Source organism: Homo sapiens, chromosome 7, assembly GCF_000001405.40.
Source record: "Homo sapiens chromosome 7, GRCh38.p14 Primary Assembly".
NCBI lineage: Eukaryota > Metazoa > Chordata > Mammalia > Primates > Hominidae > Homo > Homo sapiens.
In genome coordinates, this window is record NC_000007.14 from 131,499,167 (window position 1) to 131,522,319 (window position 23,153).

The 23,153-nt window shown below is 48.9% G+C and overlaps 1 protein-coding gene and 1 pseudogene across 2 annotated transcripts in view, besides 4 other annotated features; one reads left to right on the top strand and one right to left on the bottom strand.

Moving 5' to 3' along the window:
- Nucleotides 1,105-23,153, bottom strand: part of PODXL (podocalyxin like) — a 56,358-nt gene continuing 34,309 nt past the window's right edge. The window contains exons 2-9 of one of the 2 annotated variants that reach the window (NM_001018111.3): nt 11,662-12,267; nt 11,070-11,165; nt 10,199-10,419; nt 9,785-9,862; nt 7,413-7,560; nt 7,094-7,155; nt 6,702-6,869; nt 1,105-5,342 (exon numbers count right to left, since the gene is read on the bottom strand). In NM_001018111.3, the coding sequence (NP_001018121.1) occupies nt 5,145-5,342; nt 6,702-6,869; nt 7,094-7,155; nt 7,413-7,560; nt 9,785-9,862; nt 10,199-10,419; nt 11,070-11,165; nt 11,662-12,267 (1,577 nt within the window). In that variant the 3' untranslated portion in view covers nt 1,105-5,144. The remainder of the gene's footprint in view (nt 5,343-6,701; nt 6,870-7,093; nt 7,156-7,412; nt 7,561-9,784; nt 9,863-10,198; nt 10,420-11,069; nt 11,166-11,661; nt 12,268-23,153) is intronic. The other variant, NM_005397.4, reaches the window with a different exon arrangement.
- Nucleotides 6,493-7,407: an enhancer, noted in NCBI's record as "H3K27ac-H3K4me1 hESC enhancer chr7:131190418-131191332 (GRCh37/hg19 assembly coordinates)". NCBI's record gives its function as "activates a minimal SCP1, AML or CMV promoter by ChIP-STARR-seq in naive and primed H9 embryonic stem cells {active_cell/tissue: H9 hESC(naive and primed)}" and the evidence as "EXISTENCE:reporter gene assay evidence [ECO:0000049][PMID:30033119]".
- Nucleotides 8,948-9,007: a silencer, noted in NCBI's record as "silent region_18662". NCBI's record gives its function as "represses an Ori minimal core promoter by ATAC-STARR-seq in GM12878 lymphoblastoid cells {active_cell/tissue: GM12878}" and the evidence as "EXISTENCE:reporter gene assay evidence [ECO:0000049][PMID:35858748]".
- Nucleotides 14,108-14,967: an enhancer, noted in NCBI's record as "NANOG-H3K27ac-H3K4me1 hESC enhancer chr7:131198033-131198892 (GRCh37/hg19 assembly coordinates)". NCBI's record gives its function as "activates a minimal SCP1, AML or CMV promoter by ChIP-STARR-seq in naive H9 embryonic stem cells {active_cell/tissue: H9 hESC(naive)}" and the evidence as "EXISTENCE:reporter gene assay evidence [ECO:0000049][PMID:30033119]".
- Nucleotides 18,470-18,969: an enhancer, noted in NCBI's record as "H3K27ac hESC enhancer chr7:131202395-131202894 (GRCh37/hg19 assembly coordinates)". NCBI's record gives its function as "activates a minimal SCP1, AML or CMV promoter by ChIP-STARR-seq in naive and primed H9 embryonic stem cells {active_cell/tissue: H9 hESC(naive and primed)}" and the evidence as "EXISTENCE:reporter gene assay evidence [ECO:0000049][PMID:30033119]".
- RPL31P36 (ribosomal protein L31 pseudogene 36) lies at nt 20,948-21,311 on the top strand (annotated as a pseudogene).

Below are 23,153 nucleotides of genomic sequence, written 5' to 3' on the forward strand. Positions count from 1 at the left end.
TCTAGACCTCTCTTCAGGGTTTAACTGCTTTTCACAACAACTTTCATGGAAGGAAAATCATGTTGTAACAGTAGTTGCATTCTAGAAATGTATTTTGCTGTTGTTGGAACTCTGGCATTAACGTGATACTGAGAAAAGAGTGTAGGACTAAAGAGCAAAAAGAGAATCAAGGCCCATGCTGCCATTTAAATGGTTGTGTGATCAATCTCAAAGAGAATACTTAACTCCTGCATCTAATTTCCCTAGTGGGGACAATTCCTATAAGATAGGTTTGTAAACCTATAGGTTTCCTATAAAATGGTTTGTAAATGGTAAGATGCTAGGCAAGTAGACAAGATTGTTGTCTAGCAACTAAGATTATGGACCAGTTCTACCTGACAGTTTCCCTTCTGCAAGTTTGGAATGATGAAGTTTACCCCTTCCGATGAAGAAGCATGCAGCTGTGGATAATACCACACTAGGAGATGAAGAAAGAATCATCTCCAGTGATTCCTTCCTTAAACCGCTATCTATCTTCACTGCAGACCTGGAGGAGGGATAGGCAGAAGCCTCTTGTGGCAGTAAACAGATCCTTTTATGGCAGAAACAGGGCCAGAACAGAGCTTTGTTTTTACATATATATATATATATATATATATATATATATATATACATACACACACACACACACACACACACACACACATATATATGTATATATATAGTCTCTTTGCCAGTGTTTTCATACCTGATCAATGTTCAGCAGCCCTCTTGGGGATTTCTGATAGTGGTGATTCACAATGTATCTGAGGCAGAAGTAGAGGGAAGGAAGACAGCGAAACATACAACGTCATCTTAGGGGAAAGTGAGGTTCTTTAGAGTCACTAGGATAGCTTGAGTAACATAAAGACTCATAACCACCTTTAGGATCCCCCTTTTTTTTTCTTCCGGTTTCTCTCCTTCTCTTGCCTAATTTCTTTGCCTGCAGAGTTGGACAAGTGTAACTCAGCACGGAGGCTCCTGTGCTACGGGTGTGAGCCGACATTCTCAGGCACTTTGGCGATGAGCCTCATACACAAGTGAAGGCTTTAAGAAGTCCGAGGAAACTACTAGAGCTTGAACCAGTTTACACAAAAACACTTTAATTGACAGTATACAATTTTCCAAAATATATTTTTGTAAGAAAATGCAATAATTATTAACTATAGTTTTTACAAACAAGTTTCTCAGTAAATTCCAGTGTACTTCAGACCCCTGTCCACTAAGACATATATGATCCCCCAGTTCCTGGGCAAACTGTTGAACATTCACTGCAGACAAAAAGACCAACACCAAAGAGTCATCTGTGTCCTCCATGCTGTGTTTGCAGCAGACCTGAGGGATCAGCTAGTGACCGTGACAAAAGCTATGCTACAGTTTTACTCTTGCCCTCTCTGCCTCCCCCATCATGTTTCCTTGGTCCCTCAGTCCTGTTGGAGTAAGTTCCATATATAAAAGCTCATCCAAAACTTTGTTTCTTGGCAGAAAGAAAGAATTGTTCACTTACATCTTAAACCTAAATGATTCAGAGAAAGTGTAGAAGACCAGTTCTTATGTTTGTGTTCATGCCCTCCCTAGCCTTGCTAGGGTAACAACTGGGAAAGGAATTCTGTCCTTTGTGTCATTCTGGCACCTTCGAGTAGCAATTCTTAATTTACCGATTATTCCTTCTGAGGCGCACAGTCTGTGGATCCAGGTTTTAATCTTGTTTCTGTCCTGAACCATGTGATTTTGAGGAAGTCACTTCATCTTTGTGAGCTTCAGATTATCTTTTTCTCTAGAAAAAGATTGGACTAGATCTTGAAATACCTTTCTCCATGACTACAGGGTTGCCTGCCAACCAGAGCATATTGACTCCAACCTTTACTGAAATGGAGCTGTGACTTTGCTGGGGAGGGGGCAGGGTTGCATTTTAAAATTAAAAAAACAAAACAAAACACCTGATCTACAAGACAAATACTTTATCATAAGTTTGTCTTGTTATATTTCATTTTTTGTTTAAAAAAAAAAATCAAGCAAAAACTTGTCATTTCCAGTAAGACATTTACATTCCTGTCCAGAGAAAAAACTTGGCCATCACTCAGCTAACATAATGCTTTTTCAAAGTATGTTCACTTAAAGCAGTGCAGGGTAGGTTAACATGGTCACTGTATTTACATTATCAAAAAAATATGTGTATATGTATCAGTTTGAACTTGTTCTTCAAAGTTTCTCCAGTATATTGTCAAAAAAGATAAAGCTCAAGAAGTGGTTTAAATAAACTTTCTGCTAGCTTTCCTTATCAAGCGGGAAAAAAATCTGGTGCCTAGACTAGATTAAACCCGTATTCTGTCTTACAACGCAAAGAATATTCTGTACCTCCTTCATAAGCTTTGCTGCCTGTCTCCCCACTCTCATGACAGTAGGCTTCCTAGTCATCATACTTGTGGTTTCTGGCCTCCTGTGCAGCTTGGGGAAACCACAGTTTACCACTGAAAGAGCTGATGATAAACTGTCTTTGCTACAACCTGTTTAAGTCATGCTGAGCTTCTAGTGTTCCTCTTACCTCTTCCCAGACCCAATGCTCTCTGAATTATCAGAGAGCATTTAGAACCCAGTAAAGGTGGCAGAAGATGATGACCTTTATAGATGCATGGCTGTTTGGCCTGTTGACATAGGTGTCCTGGTGGCAAGAGCAAGGCAAGGTGTCAGATTCTGAAGCTGTCCTAAGCCTAGACTAACACAGTTTGGACGAATATAAAGCAGTAACCTCTGAATCAGCCCAGAGCCTCTCCGGGTTCTCCTTGGACAGAGCGATGGAGAGTCAGGAGAGTCAGGACCGACCTGGCCAGGCACTCCTGCTCTCTAGTCCTTGCCAGTCATCATCTGTCTCCAAGAGGCCATAGGGTTGCAGCCTTTGATTGATTTGCAGAGGCCTATTTGCTGTCTCCGTCAAAAGCCCTGGCTGGTGAAGTGTGACCCAGGATCAGCAAAGGAGGAATAATCCAGTCTGGCCTCTCCCACGGGACCACAACAGAAAACCTACTGGGTGGAGAGAACCCAGCGCTGGGCAAGAAGGAAGCAAACACCTCACTCAAGCCTAACAAGATTTCCTGTTTTCCCCCAAACAGGCACTGTTCTCCATCCTGCCCACCTCCAAACACTAGAGCATCGGGGCAGATGTTTTTGGAACTTGTTAGCCTCGCATCCCTCTAACTCCTGGGAAACTCGCTGGGGCCCTATGTGAACCCCTGGCCTTCCTTTTCCCCTAGGATATCAGATGGCTACAGACTGTGAGGAAGGAATTAGGCAGATGGTGCAGGACAGATCTTCCCCAGCCCCTCCCCCTACCCTTTTAAAAAGTAAGCCATCCCGAGTGGATAGCCTATTTCATCAGAGCTACTACAGCCGGAGCCTGACTCTTAAGACCCTGGAGGTGTGGCGTTTCACCCGAAAAATGGCAATTTCATTCCCCTAAGCAGTTCTGCCCATTTTCCTACTTGATCCCAGGGAATTTACGCCCAGAACGATGGAGACCATGGCGAAAGTTCAACATTCCACACAGGATTCCCCCTTCTCAATCAGATGAAACCTCACCATGCCCACTGCTTAGGAGCCTTCTACATGGCAGCTAACTGCCGAGCCCATAAAAGTCCTATATTGGGGAATAGACATAGCTTTGTGTTCCCCTGAGATGCCACCAGAAACTGCAAGAGAACCGCAGCAGCCCCACTAGGCTCACAGAGAAGAGGAACAGCAAGGCCTAGCTCCAGGCCAGGACAGTGGGACGTTCCCACAACAGTCTGTCCCCCAGGCTGCCCTTCATGCACCCAGCATGCACTGCGCTTTCCAGGCCCTCTTTTCCTGTGGCACAGGAGAATCAGAGTGAGTGAGATGAGCTAACTGGACGTCTGCCAACTGTCTGAGCTTTTGGCCTTTGGCAGTGGAGGGCTGGGTTAGAAAACAACTATAACAAAACTCTCAGCAACTTGAAATGTCCCTGAGTTTCCTATGATATACAGGGGAAAGCCTGTCCTTCCTGGCTGCTTTAATGGATTGTCTCTGAAGACACATCGCTGATGGGGGGCCCCGGGAAGGCCTCTCCTGCAGCCACTGCTCTTTCATACTGGGTCTCAGGGAATCACTCCCATCAGCTGAGCAGTGAACAACAAAAGGAACACGCTGCTCTCACTAGCTACAGCAGATTTTAGTCCCTGGTGGAAATGGAAGCCCAAAGAAGATCGTGGGTGGCCTCTGCAAGGAGTGCCAGGGGCAATGGGCCAGTGTTCCTGCTGACCCCTCATCAGCTGCCCTGAGATACCAGCCTGGACTCGAGTGTCCCCTTCTCTCCTCACCTGCACGCAGGTCCCCTAAGCAGACCTGGTTCACGCACGGAGACCTGTGTGGGTTAAGCCCCCATCTCACGAAGCAAATGTGAGAAAATCCGAATCCAGAACAAGGGGTTCAAGGTTATGAATAACCTGTGCTAATCCCAGAGGCCCCAGGACAGAGTAAGTGGGAACAAACACTGAGTGTAGGGAGGGGTAAGAACATAGAGGGTGGGAAGATGGGTACACGAGGCTGGGGTAGGAGAAGGAAAACTTGGGAGCTGGACTTTCAGGTCGTCAGATCCCACCGAGCCAGGATGTAGCCCTGCCCTCCTTTCCAGCCCAGCCACCTGCTGGAGTTTCACCCCTGCCCGGGACTGCTCTGGACGGAAGGCACATGTGAACACAGCAGTGTGGCATGGTGCAAATGGAATCTTTGTTCTCATCCTGGCTCTGTCACCAAGTGGCTCTGACCTTGGGCAAGTCACTTACCCTCTTCAGGTCTCGGCAATCTCACTGCAGAATGAAGGGATTCCACTAGTTCATCTATAAAGTCCCTTACGTGGCTTTTTCTTGATCTCCCTCATCATCCAGCAGCACTGAGCTCAGGCACTAGTGGGTTATTTTACAAGAGGAATCTGGACAGAATGTGATTTGTTCAGGTTGAAAAGGGAAAAATTAAGGCCCTGGGGGGATTGGGAGGGGACACCCCTCGGAGTTCACTCTCCCTCCCCAGTCTTTCCCTTCCCCATCCAAACGGCACTTGGGGTGGTTGGTCTGGAGCTCTGTGGTGCTGCTGGAGGCCACCGGCAGACCGGACTAGAGGTGTGTGTCTTCCTCCTCATCCAGGTCGTCCTTGGTCAGGTTGTCCAGAGGGACGATCCAGCTGTCCCCCAGCTCCCCGTTGAGGCTGACCACCTTCTTCTCCTGCATCTCAGAAGAGGTCTCCATCACTTCCAGTGTTGGGTTGTCATGGTAACCATTCTCCACTGTCTGCAGCTCCTCTGTTAGCCGCTGCTAGAGTGGGGAAGGTGACCGGTGAGAAGGGGGTTTCAGAGGGCTCTGAGCTTAATACAGCGCATGTACGTACCCCTCCCACTCAGGAGCCCCACTGTAGCTAAAGCAGGCCCTCATTGCTCGCCTGTGGGGCTGGCTGCTCCTGGTGGTCATTCTGGCTCTCAGCCTGCCCGGAACTAGTTGGGAACAAAGACTTGCCCCTCACCCTCACCCTGGTGGCAGAACCTGTGAAGTTAGTGGAGATGGACTTTGTTCTCCAGAGTCCTCTAAGCTCTCTCCTCCCCTTCATCCCTTCCCCCAAAACCTCCTCTCCAGGCACCTACCTCACCTATCATAATGAATGGGAAAAACACTATTAAAAAATGACCTCTCTCGGGCTGGGTGACTGAGCCCTCAAGCCTGGGCAGGATGGGTACGGTGTCTCTAGAATCATCCCTGCGGCAGACAGCAGCCATCTGGCAGAGGCGCTTTCTGTCCCTCTCAAACACAACCTTGAGTGTATGCTAGAATCACCTGGGGAGCTTTTAACAACTACACTGATGGACTCAGAGATTGTTTGAATTGGTGTGGGAGGCAGTCAGGCAAGGGAATTTTTCTAAAGTTCCCCACGGTGTGCAGGCAGGAGTGAGAACCACAGGGTCTGGGTGGCACCATCATGGCGAGAATTCTAGTAAGGTAGGCAGAAGAATTTTTGGTTAGACAGAACACCTAGGCCTGCTTCTATCAATGAATCCTCAGACCAGCTCTGCAAGGAGGTTATCCCTGCTGTGCAGATGAGGAACCTGATGCCCAAAGAGCTCATCTGACTGACTTCCTCAAGGTCAGGGCCAGGACTAACCAAGTCTCCCTGACTCCAGTCCAGGCGTGGTGACTCACACCTGTAATCCCAGCACTTTGGGAGGCTGAGGCAGGCGGATTGCTTGAGGTCAGGAGTTCGAGACTAGCCTGGCCAACATGGCGAAACCCCATCTCTAGTAAAAATACAAAAATTAGGCGGGCGTGGTGGTGGGCACCTGTAATCCCAGCTACTGGGGAGGCTGAGGCACAAGAATCACTTGAGGTTGCAGTGGGTGACACCAGCCTGGGTGACAGAGCAAGACCCTGTCTGAAAAAAATAATAATAATAAAATAAAAAATAAATAAGTCTTCCCGACTCCAAAGCCCACGCTCTGTCCTCTGCCACGCTGCCTCTGTAATGCTCTGTGGACTGAGGCGGCTGCCTATCAGGGGTGGCCTCTGCCTGTTAGAAAGGGTCCAGGGCCTGCTCCCTTTCCTCTTCTGCAACTCGGGAATCACGAGGGGAGGGTTCCTCTGGTGACCTGGGCTGCTTCCCCTGTGTGGCTGCAAACAGCTGCTTACCTGGTCCTTCCTCTGGGAGAGGCGCTGGTGGCAGCAGCCATAGAGGGCCGCCACGAGGAGCAGGAATGATGCCATGCAGACGATGGTGATGATGAGGGGCATGCTGAAGCGGTCCTCGGCCTCCTCCGGTGGCCCCTGGTCCCCTAGCTTCATGTCACTGACCCCTGCCTGCATGGGAAGTGGCAGAGAACAGGCTGGGGGCATCCTCTCTCCCTCAGCCCCCGGCTTCACTGTAGAGCCCCTCCGCTTGCAGTCTGCTAGGGTCCGTGCCGCCGCCCTCTTCTACATGCAGGCACATGACGGGGTTCCTCCCCACAGAGAGAGGGGAGTAACCAGACCTCCCACAAGGGGCTTCGGAGCCACTCTGTCCCCACACTTGGGGGGCCGCTTACCTCCTTTAGTTCATCCCATTTGTCCTTCAGCCGCTCGTACACATCCTTGGCAGGGAGCTTAGCTGTGGGAGAGGGAGACGATGCCCAATGGCCCAGCCCAGAGCGAGGCAGTGGGGGACGGGGACTGCGCCCCAAGAGAGGGACGCACCGTATCTCAGTCTCCTGAGTGTCTCTCGGGTGACCTGGGAGGGGGTGTGGCTTGACAGTTCTTAGGGAACTGAAGGGGCACCACTGTGACCCACCCTCCAATGTGGCTTCTGCATGCCCCCCATTCCCACCCATGCAGGCCCCAGCCCAGGCCCCCTTGCCCTCCACTCACTGTGAATAGTGATTTCTTTGACGACCACGGTCTGACTTCCTGGAACAGATGCCAGCCGTATGCCGCACTTATCTTGGGCCGGGTTGAAGGTGGCTTTGACTGCTCGGCATATCAGTGAGATCAATTTCTCATCCGAAGCGCCCCCTGCCTATGGTGGGGAGAGCGCAGGTGACTCCGCGGGGAGCGTGACAGCAGCCTAGGCCTGTGGGGCTGCCCTCCCAGCTAAGGTCGGGACAGTGCTGTTGCTGTGCTAGAACCTGCCTCCCTCTCTAGCCCCAGCTGGTGCTCCACGCAGGCCTGCCAGGAATCAAGGGTTGCATGCTGTTCTCCTGGGCCAGTTCCTGCCTCCTCTGTCTCGTTCCCATCAGCCCGTTCTCCGCACTGTGTTTATCTGGTCTACGCTTGCACCTTTCATTCCTTTCACCCTAGTGCCTCTTTTTTCCCTCCAAGCTGTTTGCGGATTGGGGGTTGTTTTCATCTCCCTCCCTAGAACGGGCTAGAGAGGGGGCACTGCACAGCAACCCTACCCCACAGCCCGCAGGGAGACTCCAATTCCCCCTAAACTCCCATTCACCAGCCTTTCATGCCCAGTTCGGAGAAATCAGGTGGGGAGGCTGCAGCTCTCAGCAGAAGGGTCTCTACCCCCAAAGCTGAAATACATGTGCCCTTGCCCTAGGCAGAGCCTCTGGCTCTGAAGCCACGGACAGGCTGACAGGGAAGGGGCTCCACTGAGTAGGGGAACAGGTGGGATCTTGAAGCTACCCCTAGGATATCTTGGAGGGGGTCTTATTTAGCTCTAAGAACAAAGATTGTGGCTGACGTGGCTTTAGAGCTGAGGATGAGGGGAGAAGTGTGGGCAGCATGTATCCAGTCCTGCCATGCCATCTAGGGGCACCCCTCCCTGGGGCTTCTCTGACCTGATTCTGGAATAAATGACTAAGACAAAGAAAAGGACTCTAGGGATAGCTTAGCACAGAACCCATACAAACCACCCCTAAGGTTTCTACCAGAATTTCCTTAGGCTTAGTAATTCCCCACCCTGACATCAGGAAGGGATCCAGGGTTTTCCATCTTCCTTTTCTAGCAAAGGGAAAAAAAAAAAAAGTGTCTCACAACAATCACACAGCCTACCAAGCTACATCCAAAAAGAGGGTCTGAGGAAGGGCTGGGCGGGCACCTGACTGTCCCCAGAGCCCATATCATGCAATGCCTGCCTTGTCCAATAAGCCCAGCCCTAGGAGAGCACTGCTCCCTTTTAAAACTCTGGTCTAGATGTAGGCTTTTGTAAAGTTCACTTGGAAAATGCCGGCATAATGGACACCCAAAAGAAAACAACTGCAGAAAATTCAGGCAGCATTAAAGTGTTGTAAGCCCAAATTCTCCATCCTATCTATAGACACCGTGTTCAGGTCTGTTCTAGTTCTAGTTCCTAGGGGGTGGCTGCAAAAAACCGGCACTGACCGGGAGAGGGCAGCAGTGAGCCAGCCATCTCCAGCACCCGCCGCGCTCGGCAGTTATTTACTGAGTGTGCACAGCGCACACTCCCCAGACCAAAGCCTTTGGACCCATGGAGACCGGTGGCCTGAAGGCTGCTCACACACTGCTACCTCCCTCACACAGGTGTGCTCACACGCACGCTCACCACCCAGACTGGAGAAATGCTGGCAGTGGCTCCTGCATTCCTGGGCCCTTTTCTCTCCCACCCATCCCATCAGCTCCTCAGGTTAGAGGGAGAATCTCCCAGCACTGTTCGTCCATCAAGGCTCTCAGATAGTCCACAGACCAGGAAATGTGAAGCCACAGACGATTAAAGCAGACAGACTACACCTCTCATTTTCTCTTGCTTTTCTTTTCTTTCTGTAAAAACAGGGTCTTCCTATGTTTCCCAGGCTGGTCTTGAACTTCTGGCCTCAAGCAAACTTCCTGCCTCAGCTTCTCAAAGTGTTGGGATTACAGGTGTAAGCCACCACACCTGGCCTCACCTCTCATTTTCAATTGAGACATCTGAAACCCAAAGAGATCAACTCACCAAAGTCACTCCCAGAGCTAGGGGCAAACAGGAACTAGGATCAGGGTCCCTCAACTCAGCATACTGGAAATAGTCACACAGTGAAAGCCGAGGAAACCGGGGGGTGGGAGGGGGGGGTCCAGTCCTGTGGGTGTGTCCTGACTTAGAGAAGTCTTAAACCTTGGTCTGTTGCTCTGTAAGATGGGAAAGGACCACTTCCTACTAGGAAGAAATGAGGGCCGGAAAGCAAATGCACCTTAGAAAGATGTTTAAAAATGCACCTAGAAAGAACATACATTCCCTCTCCCTCCCTCAGCCCTGCTGTGAGCCTGCACCTGGCGGCTCAGATCAGCAAGCTACTCACACAGAGGGTGTTTCCTGTGAGGTTCAGGACGAGCTGCTTCTCACTCTGTGTCTGTGTCTCAAGATCCTCACACTTTGCCTGGAAGAAGCCACTGAGATTAAGGTTTGGGCTAATAGTCATGGAATCTTTGACATTTCCCCCCAACTAAGGGGTGACCCAGATAGGAAAGAGTTCACGGCAAGCTGGAGGCATGGCTGGACCCATTCCAGAGCCAGGTATGTCCTGGCTGCGTGGCTTGAGGGCAGCTCAAGCCAGGACCAGGCTAACCAGGGAGAGGGAGGAGGGAATGGGTAAGTGCTGCTCAAAGCCCCAGCCAGGGGCCCTGCGTTGGAGGAAAGAACAGAAAACCTTGTCTTAAAGCCTCTTCTACCCGAGTCTGGGTTCTCCTACTTGCCCCACCCCTGCTGGAGTTACCCAGTTACTCTCATGAGCCACAGTGGGAGAAGGTGTTTTGGGGTATCGGTGGGTAGTTGATGCTGCTGTGGGGCTGGAGCTCATGGTCTCTGGCAGGGTAGGTGTTCTCAATGCCGTTGCCGGGCTCGTGGGCTGCACTGTCTCCTGGGAGGAAGGGGCCGTAGAGCTGGCTGGCATCTGACTGGAGGTCTGTTGAGTTCTTTGCGAGATAACCGATGACGCTGTCATTGGGAAAACGAGGGTAATGAGAAAAGATGAGTGCACCCTTGCGAGAAGAGGACAATCTTTTCTTGCTCTAATAGTTTTCCCAGGTTCTTTGGTCTTACCTCCCACAGAGACGGAAGAAGTGGACTCCTATGACAAGCCAGTGGAATAACCCGGCAAAGTCACAGCAGCCGCAGCAAACGTTCACTGAGCACTTAACTTTGTGCAAGGGACTGGGTGCCTCAAAGGTACTTTCCTACTGAATCCTCACAATCCTCTGGGGAAGGAATCGGCATCATCCCTATTTCATAAACAAGGAAACTGAGGCTCCGAGGGGCTCAGTGATTTGCCCGAGTTCCTGTGCCAACAATGGCAGGGCAGGGATTCGAAGCCAGGATTATCTCAGCCGGAGCCCGCACTCCTACTGTGTGGCACCCTCCTGTGGAGCGGTGGCCTGCTGACTTCAGACCATATGCCTCTGATATGCAGCAACATCACCAGGAGCGCTCAGAAACTCTGGGTCCACAGGTCTGAGATGGGCCATGATCCTAAGGCTCTTGATCCATAGGTAGATTTTGAAATTGATTTACTAGGTTAAGACAAGCTCTTATAAATAATAAGTAAGTAAGTAAGTAAACAGGTATCGGCCGGGCATGGTGGCTCATACCTGTAATCCCAGCACTTTGGGAGGCCAAGGTGGGCAGATCACCCGAGGTCAGGAGTTCAAGACCAGCCTGGCTGACATGGTGAAACACTGTCTCTACTTGAAAAAAAAAAAAAAAAAAAAAAAAAAATTAGCTGGTGTGCTGGTGCACACCTGTAGTCCCAGCTACTCGGGAGGCTGAGGCAGGAGAATTGCTTGAACCCGGAGGTGGAGGTTGCAGTGAGCAGAGATCATGCCACCGCACTCCAGCCTGGGTGACAGAGCGAGACTCCATCTCAAAAATAAATAAATAAATAAATAAATAGGTATGAAATAGAAACTATTCCCCTCTCAGGTTCAAGCAATTCTCCTGCCTCAGCCTCCTGAGTAGCTGGGATTACAGGCGCCTGCCACCATACCCAGCTAATGTTTGTATTTTTAGTAGAGACAGGGTTTCGCCATGTTGGCCAGGCTGGTCTCGAACTCCTGACCTCAGGTGATCCACCTGTCTCGGCCTCCCAAAGTGCTGGGATTACAAGGCATGAGCCTTTTCAGAGCCATCACGCCTGGCCCTGAAAAGTTTCTTGGTGCTTGAAGAAAACCAGGCATTACTTACGTAGGGTGGTGGTCATCCCCGGGCTTGTGAAGGTGTAGCCAGGGATAGCCACAGTGCTTGAACTGCTTGAAATTTTCATAAGATGGTCATGTCCCGAGCTTGTTGGGGTGGCCACAGGATGCGTCGAAGTGGGTTGTCGGGGGCTAAGTGGACTTGTAGGGTGAGGGGTCGTCAGATGTTCTGCCTTAGTGGATGTGAGGTCTGTGGTCACACTGTGGCTGCTTTTCCCCCCAGAGTTTGTTGTATCTTCTGCTCCATTCTGGCTGCTTGTGGTGTTAGGTTTAGCTGTGGCTGTGGAGGTTGCAACTGTAGTGGTGTCTGCACTTTTTGTGCTCTTGGGGCTCTCGATGGTGGTAGTAGGGTTGCCTGAGCCGCCTCCTCTAGCCACGGTAGTGTTGACTGGGCCTGAGACTTGCTGAGCCAGGGTTGTAGTCCCCGGTGAGTCACTGGATACACCAAGGGTGGTCGCCTTGACCGAGGCCAAGATTTCGTTGGCCTTGGAAGTGGGGACTGTGCTCTGCTGGGCTGTATCTGTAGCCATGATGGTGACACTGGATGCTGGAGTCGGTGCTGTTTTGTTAGATGAGTCCGTAGTAGTCTGGGTTGCTGTTTGTAAAGATAACAGAGAATGGAGTTAGGGCTGGGAGGCTTCCTCACCACGCTTCTCCAGCTCTTCCCCAGGATTCAGAGGCCTTGCTCGCAGCCCTGCTGTCTGCCTTGCTAAAGGCCTGGGTCTTTGGTGAATCCAGAATTTTCGGAGGTTCAAGAAACCTCTTTTTTCTGTCTTTTTTTTTTCTTCTTCCTTTTTGTGGAGAATGGGGTCTTGCTATATTGCCCAGGCAGGTCTTGAACTCCTGGGCTCAAGCTATCCTCCCGCCTCTGCCTCCCTCAGAGCTGGGATTACAGGCGTGAGCCACCACGCCTGGCATGAAACCTCTAAGAGGGCAGCTTGGAGTGCAGCAGGGTCAGAAAAGCAAAATTCTGCTGAAGGCGAGCCCAGGCCAATGAGGCCCACCACACGTGGAGGCTGTCATGCATGCCCTGCCCTCCCCGTCCAGCCCCACACACATCCCCTTTAAGTTTCTCAATATGCTACCCCAGAACCAGCTGCCAGGAACACCTCTGTCTCCTCCTCCCCAGCTCCCAGGCACGTGGCCCACAGAAAATTCCACAGACTAATGCTTCCTGAACTGCCCTGGCCCTGTTCTGAGCTTAAGCAAAAAAGACATGGGCCCTGTTCTCATGGAAGTTATATCTAGGAGAAACTGATGATAAACTGAAATTACACAAATTACTATTTCAGTACTAGGTGAGCTGTGCCAAGAAAGAAAGGCCGAGTGCCCGGACTGCATGCAGCATGGTGGCTTCACCTGTCATTTCTTGAGGAAATAGGATCTGTGTCAGGCAATGGAGACACAATGGTGAACACGACACAGAGAGTCGTACCCTCAAGAAGCTAACACTCTGGTGGGGAGGCAGAGACTAACCACCTGGACAGAGCAGCCGTCAAATCTGCTTACTACACGGAGGAAGTGAGGAAGGAAATGATGCAGAGACGAGCGGGGAGGGACCATGTCGAATGAGGGAAAGAAAGGCATCTCTGCGATGATGGTTAAGCTAAGCCCTGAAGGATAGCAAGGAGAATGCTGTGTGAAGAATGGGAGGAGAAGTGTCCCCAGCAGAAGGAACAGAATCTGCAAAGCCCCCGAGTAGGGAAAGCTGCTGACAGAAGACAAGCAGGAATGGAGTTTGGTAAGGAGGGGTCAGGTTCAGGGCTGAGAAAATGCAGGGTCTTATGACAGTGATAGCAACTGAGCGTCCAAACCAGACATTTTTGAGAATAAAAGGCCCTCTTAAAAATCACATTCAGCCGGGTGTGGTGGCTCATGCCTTTAATCCCAGCACTTTGGGAGGCTGAGGCAGGCAGATCACTTGAGGTCAGGAGTTACAGACCAGTCTGGCCAATATAGAGAAACCCCATCTCTACTAAAAATAAAAAATAAATAAGCTGGGCGTGGTGATGGTAGTAAAGTAACTGGGCGTGGTGATCCCAGCTACTTGGGAGGCTGAGGCAGGAGAACGGCTTGAACCCGGGAGGCAGAGGTTGCAGTGAGCCAAGATGGCACCACTGCACTTCAGCCTGGGCGACTGAGCAAGACTCCGTCTCAAAAAAAAAAAAAAAAAAAATCACATCCTACGCAGAAGAAGGAGACATAAGATCATACTCCTCAGAGGCCAACATGCAGATTCCAGATTTTATTCTTGGTGCAAAAAAGAAGCCACTGAAGGCATTAAAGCACAGAAGTTTTATAGGATGACTTACAGAGAAACCTGTTCCTGCTGCTTTGGGGAATGCAGACTGGAAAGAAGAGTGTGTGGAAGAGGAAAGAGAAGTTAGGAGGCAATCACAGTAATCCAGATGGAATGAACAGCGTTGGCCACAGGAAGCTATTGACACTGGAGACAAAAGGTGGAGAGAGTCAAGACTGTTTTGGAGATCAACTGCTTGTTGATGTCCTAAGTGAGGGAAGAAGAGAATCTAAGGTGATTCCTAGTTTTCTGTCTGGAGCAGAAGGGAGTGGTGGGAAGGGGGCTGATGGCTGCATCCCGTACTCTGTGCCAGCCAGCACCCATACCATTTCTCTATATTTGGGAGTTCCGCACCCCGTGAGACTTGATGGCAGCAGAATCTGCCTCCTATGTTGATGCTCCTATGAAAATGCCAGCTCTTTGCCTTGCCAGCCTCCCCTGGGATGAGCATAAGCAGGTGGCAGTGCCACCATGAACGTGCAGTCTCATTCCAGCCGTGACGGGCTCTGCAGGCAGGAGTGGTGACATCATGCATGGAGGTGAGGCCAAGCACTCATCCTGGGCCGCAGCGCCACCTAGTGCTTGGCATGGGTAAGCAGCGCTGGCCTCCCTGAATCTACAGCCTGGCTTGAGTGAGGTTCAAAGTAGCCCTGCATGTGGCCTCCAGCAATCCCAGCTACTCCATACACTGGACAGTATCCCCATATCTTTTACACACACATTTTGCTACTGAAAAGCAGAAATGTTTATCAGGAGTAGCCGCCAGCAGCAAGACTTCAAGGATTGGTTGTCAGGCCTTACTGGGGACAAAGGGCAGTCAAAATTCTGCAAGTATTAAGGAATACTTGCAAGTGTCCCATGATATCTCAAGGATAAGCAGTCACATTATCACCTCTAATCTAGAGTGAAGTGCCCAGGAAGTGGCTTTGGTGTGGCCCAGTGGCTGCTGCCAGAGTATGAAAGGCACACTCACCAAATGTGTTTTAAAAAGCAATACAGGCTGGGTGCGGTGGCTCATGCCTGTAATCCCAGCACTTTGGGAGGCCAAGGCAGGTGGATCACCTGAGGTCACCTGAGACCAGCCTGGCCAACATTGTGAAACTTCATCTCTACTAAAAATACAAAAATTAGCCAGGCGTGGTGGCGGGCACCTGTAATCCTAGCTACTCAGGAGGCTGAGGCAGGAGAATAGCTTGAACCTGGGAGGCGGAGGTGTAGTGAGCCAAGATTGTGCCACTGCACTCCGGCCTGGGTGACAGAGTGAGACACAGTCTCCAAAAAAAAGTGGGGTGGCGGGGGGAACAGTGCAATGTGAGGGTTTGACAGGCATTTTTTCTTCTTAGTAGTTCATAAAGTAACAGTGCTTCTTACTATTGATGGCATCATAGTGTCATCTGGCAAGATACTAGATTGCTAAGGGACTATATCAGCATATTTAGGGAATTAAGAAATTGGTGGGATGATTGTTTTTTGTTTTGTTTTGTTTGTGAGACAGGATCTTGCTCTGTTGCCCAAGCTGGAGTACAGTGGCACAATCAGGACTCACTACAGCCTTGACCTCCTAGGCTCAATCAGTCCTCCCACCTCAGCCTCCGAGTAGCTGAGACCACAAGCACGCACCACCACACCCAGCTAATTTTTTTTTCTAATTTGTAGAGATGAGATCTCACTATAATGGCCAGGCTAGTCTCAAACTTCTAGGCTCAAGTGATCCTCCAGCCTCGGCCTCCCAAAGTGCTGGGATTACAGGTGTGAGCCATGGCACCCAGCCCTGGATGGTTGCTTCTTACAGTGGTGAACAGCTTAAAACAGGATTTGTCAACTCTGAAACTATTGGCATTTTGAACTGGATATTTCTTGTTATAGGCAGTTGTCCTATGCATTATACGCAGAATGCTGAGCAGCATTCCTGGCCTCTGTCTATTAGATGCAAGTAATACACATGCACGCCCCTTTCCAGTTGTAACCATGAAAAATGTCTCCAGATATTGCCAAATGTCTCCTGACGGCGACAAAATCACTGCCAGTAAAAACTACTGGTTTCAAGAAAGAGAACAACAAATTCAAATTCCTAAACCTCCTATAAAAGCACAGACTGAAAACCAGAGACTTTCCAAGAACACATTCAAGGAGTCTCTTTGTTTGCAGCTGAAGGGCTGAGAGGGCCCTTTAAAAGACTTTAAAAGCTTAATTCCGTGAGTTGCCGAATTAGGGTGTTAACTTAATTCATAAGCTCACCAGGTCTCTTATGTGAAAATAGGACCTAGAGAATTTTTTTTTTGAGACAGAGTTTCGCTCCTGTCGCCCAAGCTGGAGTGCAATGGTGCGATCTCGGCTCACTGCAACCTCAGCCTCCCAGGTTCAAGCAATTCTCCTGCCTCAGCCTCCCAAGTAGCTGAGATTACAAGTGCACGCCACCATGCCCAACTAATTTTTTGTATTTTTAGTAGAAATGGGGTTTCACCATGTTAGCCAGGCTGGTCTCGAACTACTGACCTCAGATATTCCGCCCACCTTGGCCTCCCAAAGTGCAGGGATTACAGACGTGAGCCACCGCGCCTGGCCAACTTAGAGAATTAAATGGTGACATGAGAGGGTGTAGATGAATCAGACTACCCATAAATCTCCATCTTCAATGGAATTCACTTGCCAGGAAGCTCTACCACTGCTCTCCTGTAAGATCCTCAATAACCTCACTTCAGCTCATTGGCACCGAAAGCCAAATCTCATCATGATCCCCACTGCTCTTTATTTTCTTCATACCTATAACAACAGTCAGATTCCAATATGTCCCAGGAGGAAAAACACAGACTCTGACCTAGGAGAAGGCTCACACACTAAAAATATCTACAAAAAAACTTGCAAATATTTATGGATATTTAACATAAGGGTGCTGTATCAAAAGGAGGATGATGATAATTTTACATCAGGCTGAATTACCCAGTATGGGTATGCATAGCATAGGTTTTGGATCCAATATGCTGACTCAAGCAGCTACAGGTAGTTCTCATTGCTTTCTTAGTTGGATGACTGAAACCTGGACTCAATGGAAACCTACATTAAATAAAGCTGAGTTGTCAGAAATTCCCTGGAACAATGTATAGGAAGAAATGAAAGTCTTGGCTGGGCACGGTGGCTCACGCCTGTAATCCCAGCAATTTGGGAGGCTGAGGCAGGCGGATCACAAGGTCGGGAGTTTGAGACCAGCCTGGCCAACATGGTGAAACCCCGTCTCTACTAAAAATACAAAAATTAGCCGGGCGTGTTGGCGCATGCCTGTAATCCTGGCTACTCAGGAGGCTGAGGCAGGAGAATTGCTTGAACCCAGGAGATAGCACCACTGCACTCCAACCTGGGAGACAGAGAGATACTGTGTCTCAGAAGAAAAAAAAAAGTCTTGGAGAAACAGAGTGTTTATCATGTATGTCCTGCTCACTCATGCTCTGGTGTGTCATGAGAACTCAAATGACACTCCCTTTACAAGGCTTTAAGCAACATAATTCATGACTTCTGAGATTCACATCTTTCCATGTCTCTGAAATGAGAATGTATTATAAATAATTGTGGGTCACGCTTTGACTGTGGTGCTTTTTTTTCTCTTTTTTTTTTTTTTTTTGAGACAGGGTCTTGCTCCATCACCTAGGTTGTAGTGCAGTGGCATGATACACTGCAGCATCAACTTCCTGGGCTCAAGTGATCCTTCTGCCTCAGCTTCCCAAGTAGCTGGGAGCACAGGTGTGCACTACGACACCTGAGAAATTTTGTAGAAACAGGATCTCCCTATGTTGCCCAGGCTGGTCTCGAACTCCTGTGCTCAAGTGATCCTTCTACCTCAGCCTCCCAAATTGCTGGGATTACAGGTGCAAGCCACCATGCTTGGCTTTTTTTCTTAGTGGTTCATAAAATAATAGTGCATCCTATAATTGATAGTGGCTTGGATTTGATTACATTTGGGATATTGTTAAGAGGACTATTCATATGTTCTGAGAACTCTTGTGGCTGACCTTCACTGGTCAGGTATGTTAATAGGAAATGCTGCTGATTTCAGTGGGGACGGACACCAGGTTCCTTAGTGTAGAGAAAATAACAGAATTTCGTTTCCAGGAAAAAAGGTGTGTGTGTTTCCACAGTGGGCAGCAAGACCAGCGTAGTGATCGCAATGGTCTAACCAAGGCTATTTCGAGCAGCAGCTAACAGCTTGTGTGCTCTTTAGGATCAGAATGGACGGGCAACTCACTGACTTCCTAGGTGTAGGGCCCGCAAACTGGGAACTGTGTTGACTCACAACGATAGAGAACGCAGCCAGTCAACCAGGTCCCAGAACTCGATGTTTTCACAGACTCAGCGTTCCTTGAATGAATCGTGCATTTCTTTTCCATGGCTGCGTTAACAAATGACTACAAACTAGGTGGCTACAAACAACATAAATATATTCTCTCGTGGTTCTGGAGGCTAGACGTCCAAAATTGGCAGGGCCATGCTCCCTCCGAAGACACCAGGGAAGACTCTTTTCCTGCCTCTTACCAGCAATCCTGGCTACTCCTTGGCTTGTAGCTGTGTCACTGTGATCTCTGGCTCCATCAACACAAGACCTTCCTCCTTGCGTAACTCTTTTTTTTTTTTGACACAGAGTCTCTGTCACCCAGGCTGGAGTACAATGGCGCAATCTCCACTCACTGCAACCTCCGCTTTGTGGGTTCAAGCAATTCTCCTGCCTCAGCCTCCCAAGTACCTGGGACCACAGGTACACACCACTACACCAGGCTAATTTTTGTATTTTTAACGGAGATGTGGTTTCACCATGTTGGCCAGGCTGGTCTCGAACTCCTGACCTCAGGCGATCCACCCTGCTCAGCCTCCTGAAGTGCTGGGATTACAGGTGTGAGCCATCGGGGCCGGCCGTATATCTCTCCTCTTATAAGGATACCAGTCATTGGATTTAGAGCCCTCCCTAATCCAGTATGACTTCATCTTAACTTGATTACATCTGCAAAGACCCTATTTCTAAGTAGGGTCACCTGCACAGGTACCAGGTACCAGAGATTAGGACCTGAACATGTCTTTTTGCGGGGGGAATGCCATTCGCTCTCCTGATCTGCTCTCCTATATCCTCGTGAAAATACCAGGAGTCTTTCAAACATTCGAAATTAACTCTGTCTGCTTTAAAGAGAAAGTAATGTATTAAAAAGATAATGCGTTGGCTAATAAAATACTTGAGGTGGCTAAAGAATCAAGCGTAAGTCAGAAACAGTGCTCAAGACCTCTTCTCCTGAACGGGTCTGGTGAGGTCATCACTTCTACCATCATCGAGCATCAGTTTGCACCACTGGCAACATTAGTATTGGATACTGGCTTTTATTGGGGATGAGAGTGTTTAAGGATGCTGTCCGTAAGAGGTCTTTCCATTTACTTTTATGACTGGCACCATGGGGAATCCCCTGGGTTCTAGCCATATTCCTTCCTGCTTCATTATTTAGCCCCATGTAGGGTTCAGGCTAAGTCTGATAAAATTTAACAGGCCACTTATCCTGCCATAGAGTGAGCTCCTTGGTAAAGCCTATGGTCTGTGGGGTAATTGTGATGGTGAATAAAGCATCCTGGAAGTCCAGAAACGGCGCCGCTGACAGAAACGTGGCAGCCTGGAGGGCACACGCAGGTCCAGAACGGGCCGCCCTCCACCACGCCACTTGGTCACAGATCCACAGCGCCATCATTAGGCGATGGAGAAGAAAACTGATATGCTGAAGGGGTCATCTTGCCCATCTGATTACCCAGAGCCTTTCTCTAGACGCAGGCAAATATCCTCACACTCCAGACCTATCCCTGTGGGTCCCTCCACAGGCCTGCCTAACCTTCCAGGTCACACTGATTCTCCATTGCTGTTCCTTCTGAGTTCCCTAGCATTGTTTTAAAAATGATTAGCTCCTGCTGATGAATCTGTTCAGAGCCTCGCCTCAGTGGACCTTTCCTTCAAAAACAAAAGACCAGGAAATGTATTCTTTAAAGTCCTGGCCACTGGGAGAATTTTCTTTCTACGCCACCCTTCAGGATATAGAGCTTTTCTCCTGTCACTGTCCAGTTTGGGCTGGTACTAGCATATTATCCCAAATCATATAAAACCAGGCTTGGTTTTTTCACTCCTCATTCAGCTGATCTCGGGTAACTAATTCTCTTAGAGACCTTTAGGTATGGGTGGGGGTAGGAACAGGCATTCTGAGGGTGTGAGCCGCGCTCCAATTTCCATTGTCCTCCTTTAAGACCAGCCCAGGCCTGGTCCTCTATCTACCACCTTCAATCTAACAATAGAAAGCCACAAAACAACCTAAAGAAAAAAATGGAGGAATGAAAGAACAACCAAAGAAATAGAAACCAAAATACAATAGCACATATCAAAATCAAAAATTGTTTTTTTTAAACAGGCTAATAAAGTGCCAAAAAGTCTTTGGAGAGGTTGATCAAAAGGGGAAAAAAAAAAATCCAAAGGCATAAGTAAACAATGTGAGGTACAAAAATAGTAATAGTTATTTAAAGCATAATACCTTATGGGCAAATATTTATAAATCTGAAGCAGACGAGACAGACAAATTTCTTTCTTTTTTTTATTTTTTTGAGACAGAGTCTCACTCCGTCCCACAGGCTGGAATGCAACAGTGTGATCTTGGCTCATTACAATCTCCTGGGGTCAAGCAATCCTCCTACTTCAGCCTCCTGGGTAGCTGGGACTACAGGCATGTACCACCACGCTCAGCTAAAATTTTTGTATTTTTTGTAGAGATAGGGTTTCACCATGTTGCCCAGGCTGGACTCAAACTCCTGGGCTCAAGGGATCCATCTGCCTCAGTCTCCCAAAGTGCTGGGACTACAGATATGAGACACTGTGCCCTGCCACAAATTTCTTGGGAAAGAAAAAAACTTACCAGAGTGACTCAAGGAAAACGGAAATAATCATTTATCCTATAATCATAAAGAAATTGAGCCTTTCCAACTTGGGTGCGGTAAAATGGCTCCTGCGAAGAGGGTGGTGAGAAGAAAGGCCGTTCTACCATCAACGAGGTGGTGACCCGAGAATGCACCATCAACAATCCCAAGAGCTTCCTGGAGTGGGCTTCAAGCAGCATGCCCCTCAGGCACTCACAGAGATCCAGAAATTTGCCATGAAAGAGATGGGAACTCCAGATGTGCGCATTGATACCAGGCTCATCAAAGCTGTCTGGGCCAAAGGAATAAAGAATGTCCCATACCTATCCCTGTGCGGTTGTCCAGGAAACAGAATGAGGATGAAGATTCACCAAACAAGCTCTATACTTTGGTTACCCACGTGCCTGTTATCACTTTCAAAAATCTATAGACAGTCAGTGTGGATGAGAAATAACTGCTGACTGTCGAATATGTCAAATAAAGGTATAAAACCACAAAAAAGGGAAAAAAAATAAATTGAATAGGTACTTTTTTCATAAAGAAACTCCAAAACAGGATTCAAAGATCAAATCATTCTGGCCTTACATGAACTTTCTGTAGCACAATCTGTTCTGCTCTAATATGTGTCTGTAAAAGGAATTGTTTCATGTACAATCGTCCATCAACAAAACATGAAAAGCGCAAACCAAAGAAAAAGACTGATACATTTAGCGTCAAAGTTAAGAATTTGTGTTCATCAAAAGAAACAATAGGACTTCCAGTTTCAGCTAATGAGAGCAGAGACTGGAAAGAACTTTGCTCCTACTCTGACTACAAGAAAAAAGCTGAGAGGCTGGGCATGGTGGCTCACGCCTTTAATCCCAGCACTTTGGGAGGCTGAGGCGGGCCGATCACTTGAGGTCAGGAGTTCGAGATAAGTCTGGCCAATATGGCGAAATCCCATCTCTACTAAAAATACAAAAATTAGCCGGGCGTGGTGGCAGGTGCCTGTAATCCCAGCTACTCAGGAGGCTGAGGCAGGAGATTTACTTGAACCCAGGAGGCAGAGACTACACTGAGCTGAGATTGTGCCACTGCACTCCAGCCTGGGCGACTCCATCTCAAAAAAAAAAAAAAAGCTGAGAAGCCAAAAAGTTAAGACTTTTCTTGAGCCCTGAGGTCATGAAGAAAACAATGACCCTGAAAAGTGGAGACAGATGGACAACTGCAGGGAGCAATGGGACCCGAGCACACTTGCTTTACCTGGGACATGGACAAAGTTCGTTAAGAAGATTAAGGTCAATTTTTTTTTTTTTTGAGACGGAGTCTCACTCTGTCACCCAGGCTGGAGTGCAGTGGTGTGATTTCAGCTCACTGGCTCACTGCAACCTCAGCCTCCAAGGTTCAAGTGATTCTCCGGCCTCAGCCTCCTGAGTGGCTGGGATTATAGGCATGCACCACCACGCCCGGTTGTATTTTTAGTAGAGAAGGGGTTTCACCATGTTGGTCAGGTTGGTCTCGAACTCCTGACCTCGTGATGGACCCACCTCGGCTTCCCAAAGTGCTGGGATTACAGACGTGAGCCACCACACCCAGCTGATTAAAGACAATTTTCAAATGAATTTCTAAAAGCTGTGTATGGGTTAGTATGAAAATGTGAAGCCCTGTGAGCTGTAGGCATTGTAAGGTCCACAACACAGGGCAGTTTACTCCTGGGAACCCCGCCAGGTGCTCATAGGAAGCCTTGAAAAAGCAAACCCTTGCGGGTGGGGCTGGCTGGGGAAAGAAAACAGCCGGTGCTGAAACTCCATACCCACCACATTCCCACAGGGCAGGAAAGAAGCCTTTCAGGTGGAGGTCAGTAAAATCTACAGCCTGAGGGCACTGGCGGAAACCTCCCGCAGCCAGGGAAGAGAATAGGAAAGATAAAACAGCTCCTTATTCCTGAAGCAAAGCAGAGCTGTGGGCTAAACCCAGCCCGAACATCTAGGAAGAGGCAGGAATGCCAGTGAAGGCCGCACCCTCAAGCTCAGCTTCCCAGGGCCTGAGTGAGACTTAAACAGAACATCAGGAAATGGTCCCCTCCCCTGTTCCACAAGGCCAGCAAGTGTGAAGTAAAAAATAACAGTGGAGCAGCAGGGCGCAGTGGCTCACGCCTGTAATCCCAGCACTTTGGGAGGTCAAGGTGGGTAGATCACCTGAGGTCAGGTGTTCGAGACCAGCCTGGCCAACACAATGAAACCCTGTCTCTACTAAAAATACAAAAAATTAGCCAGGCTTGGTGG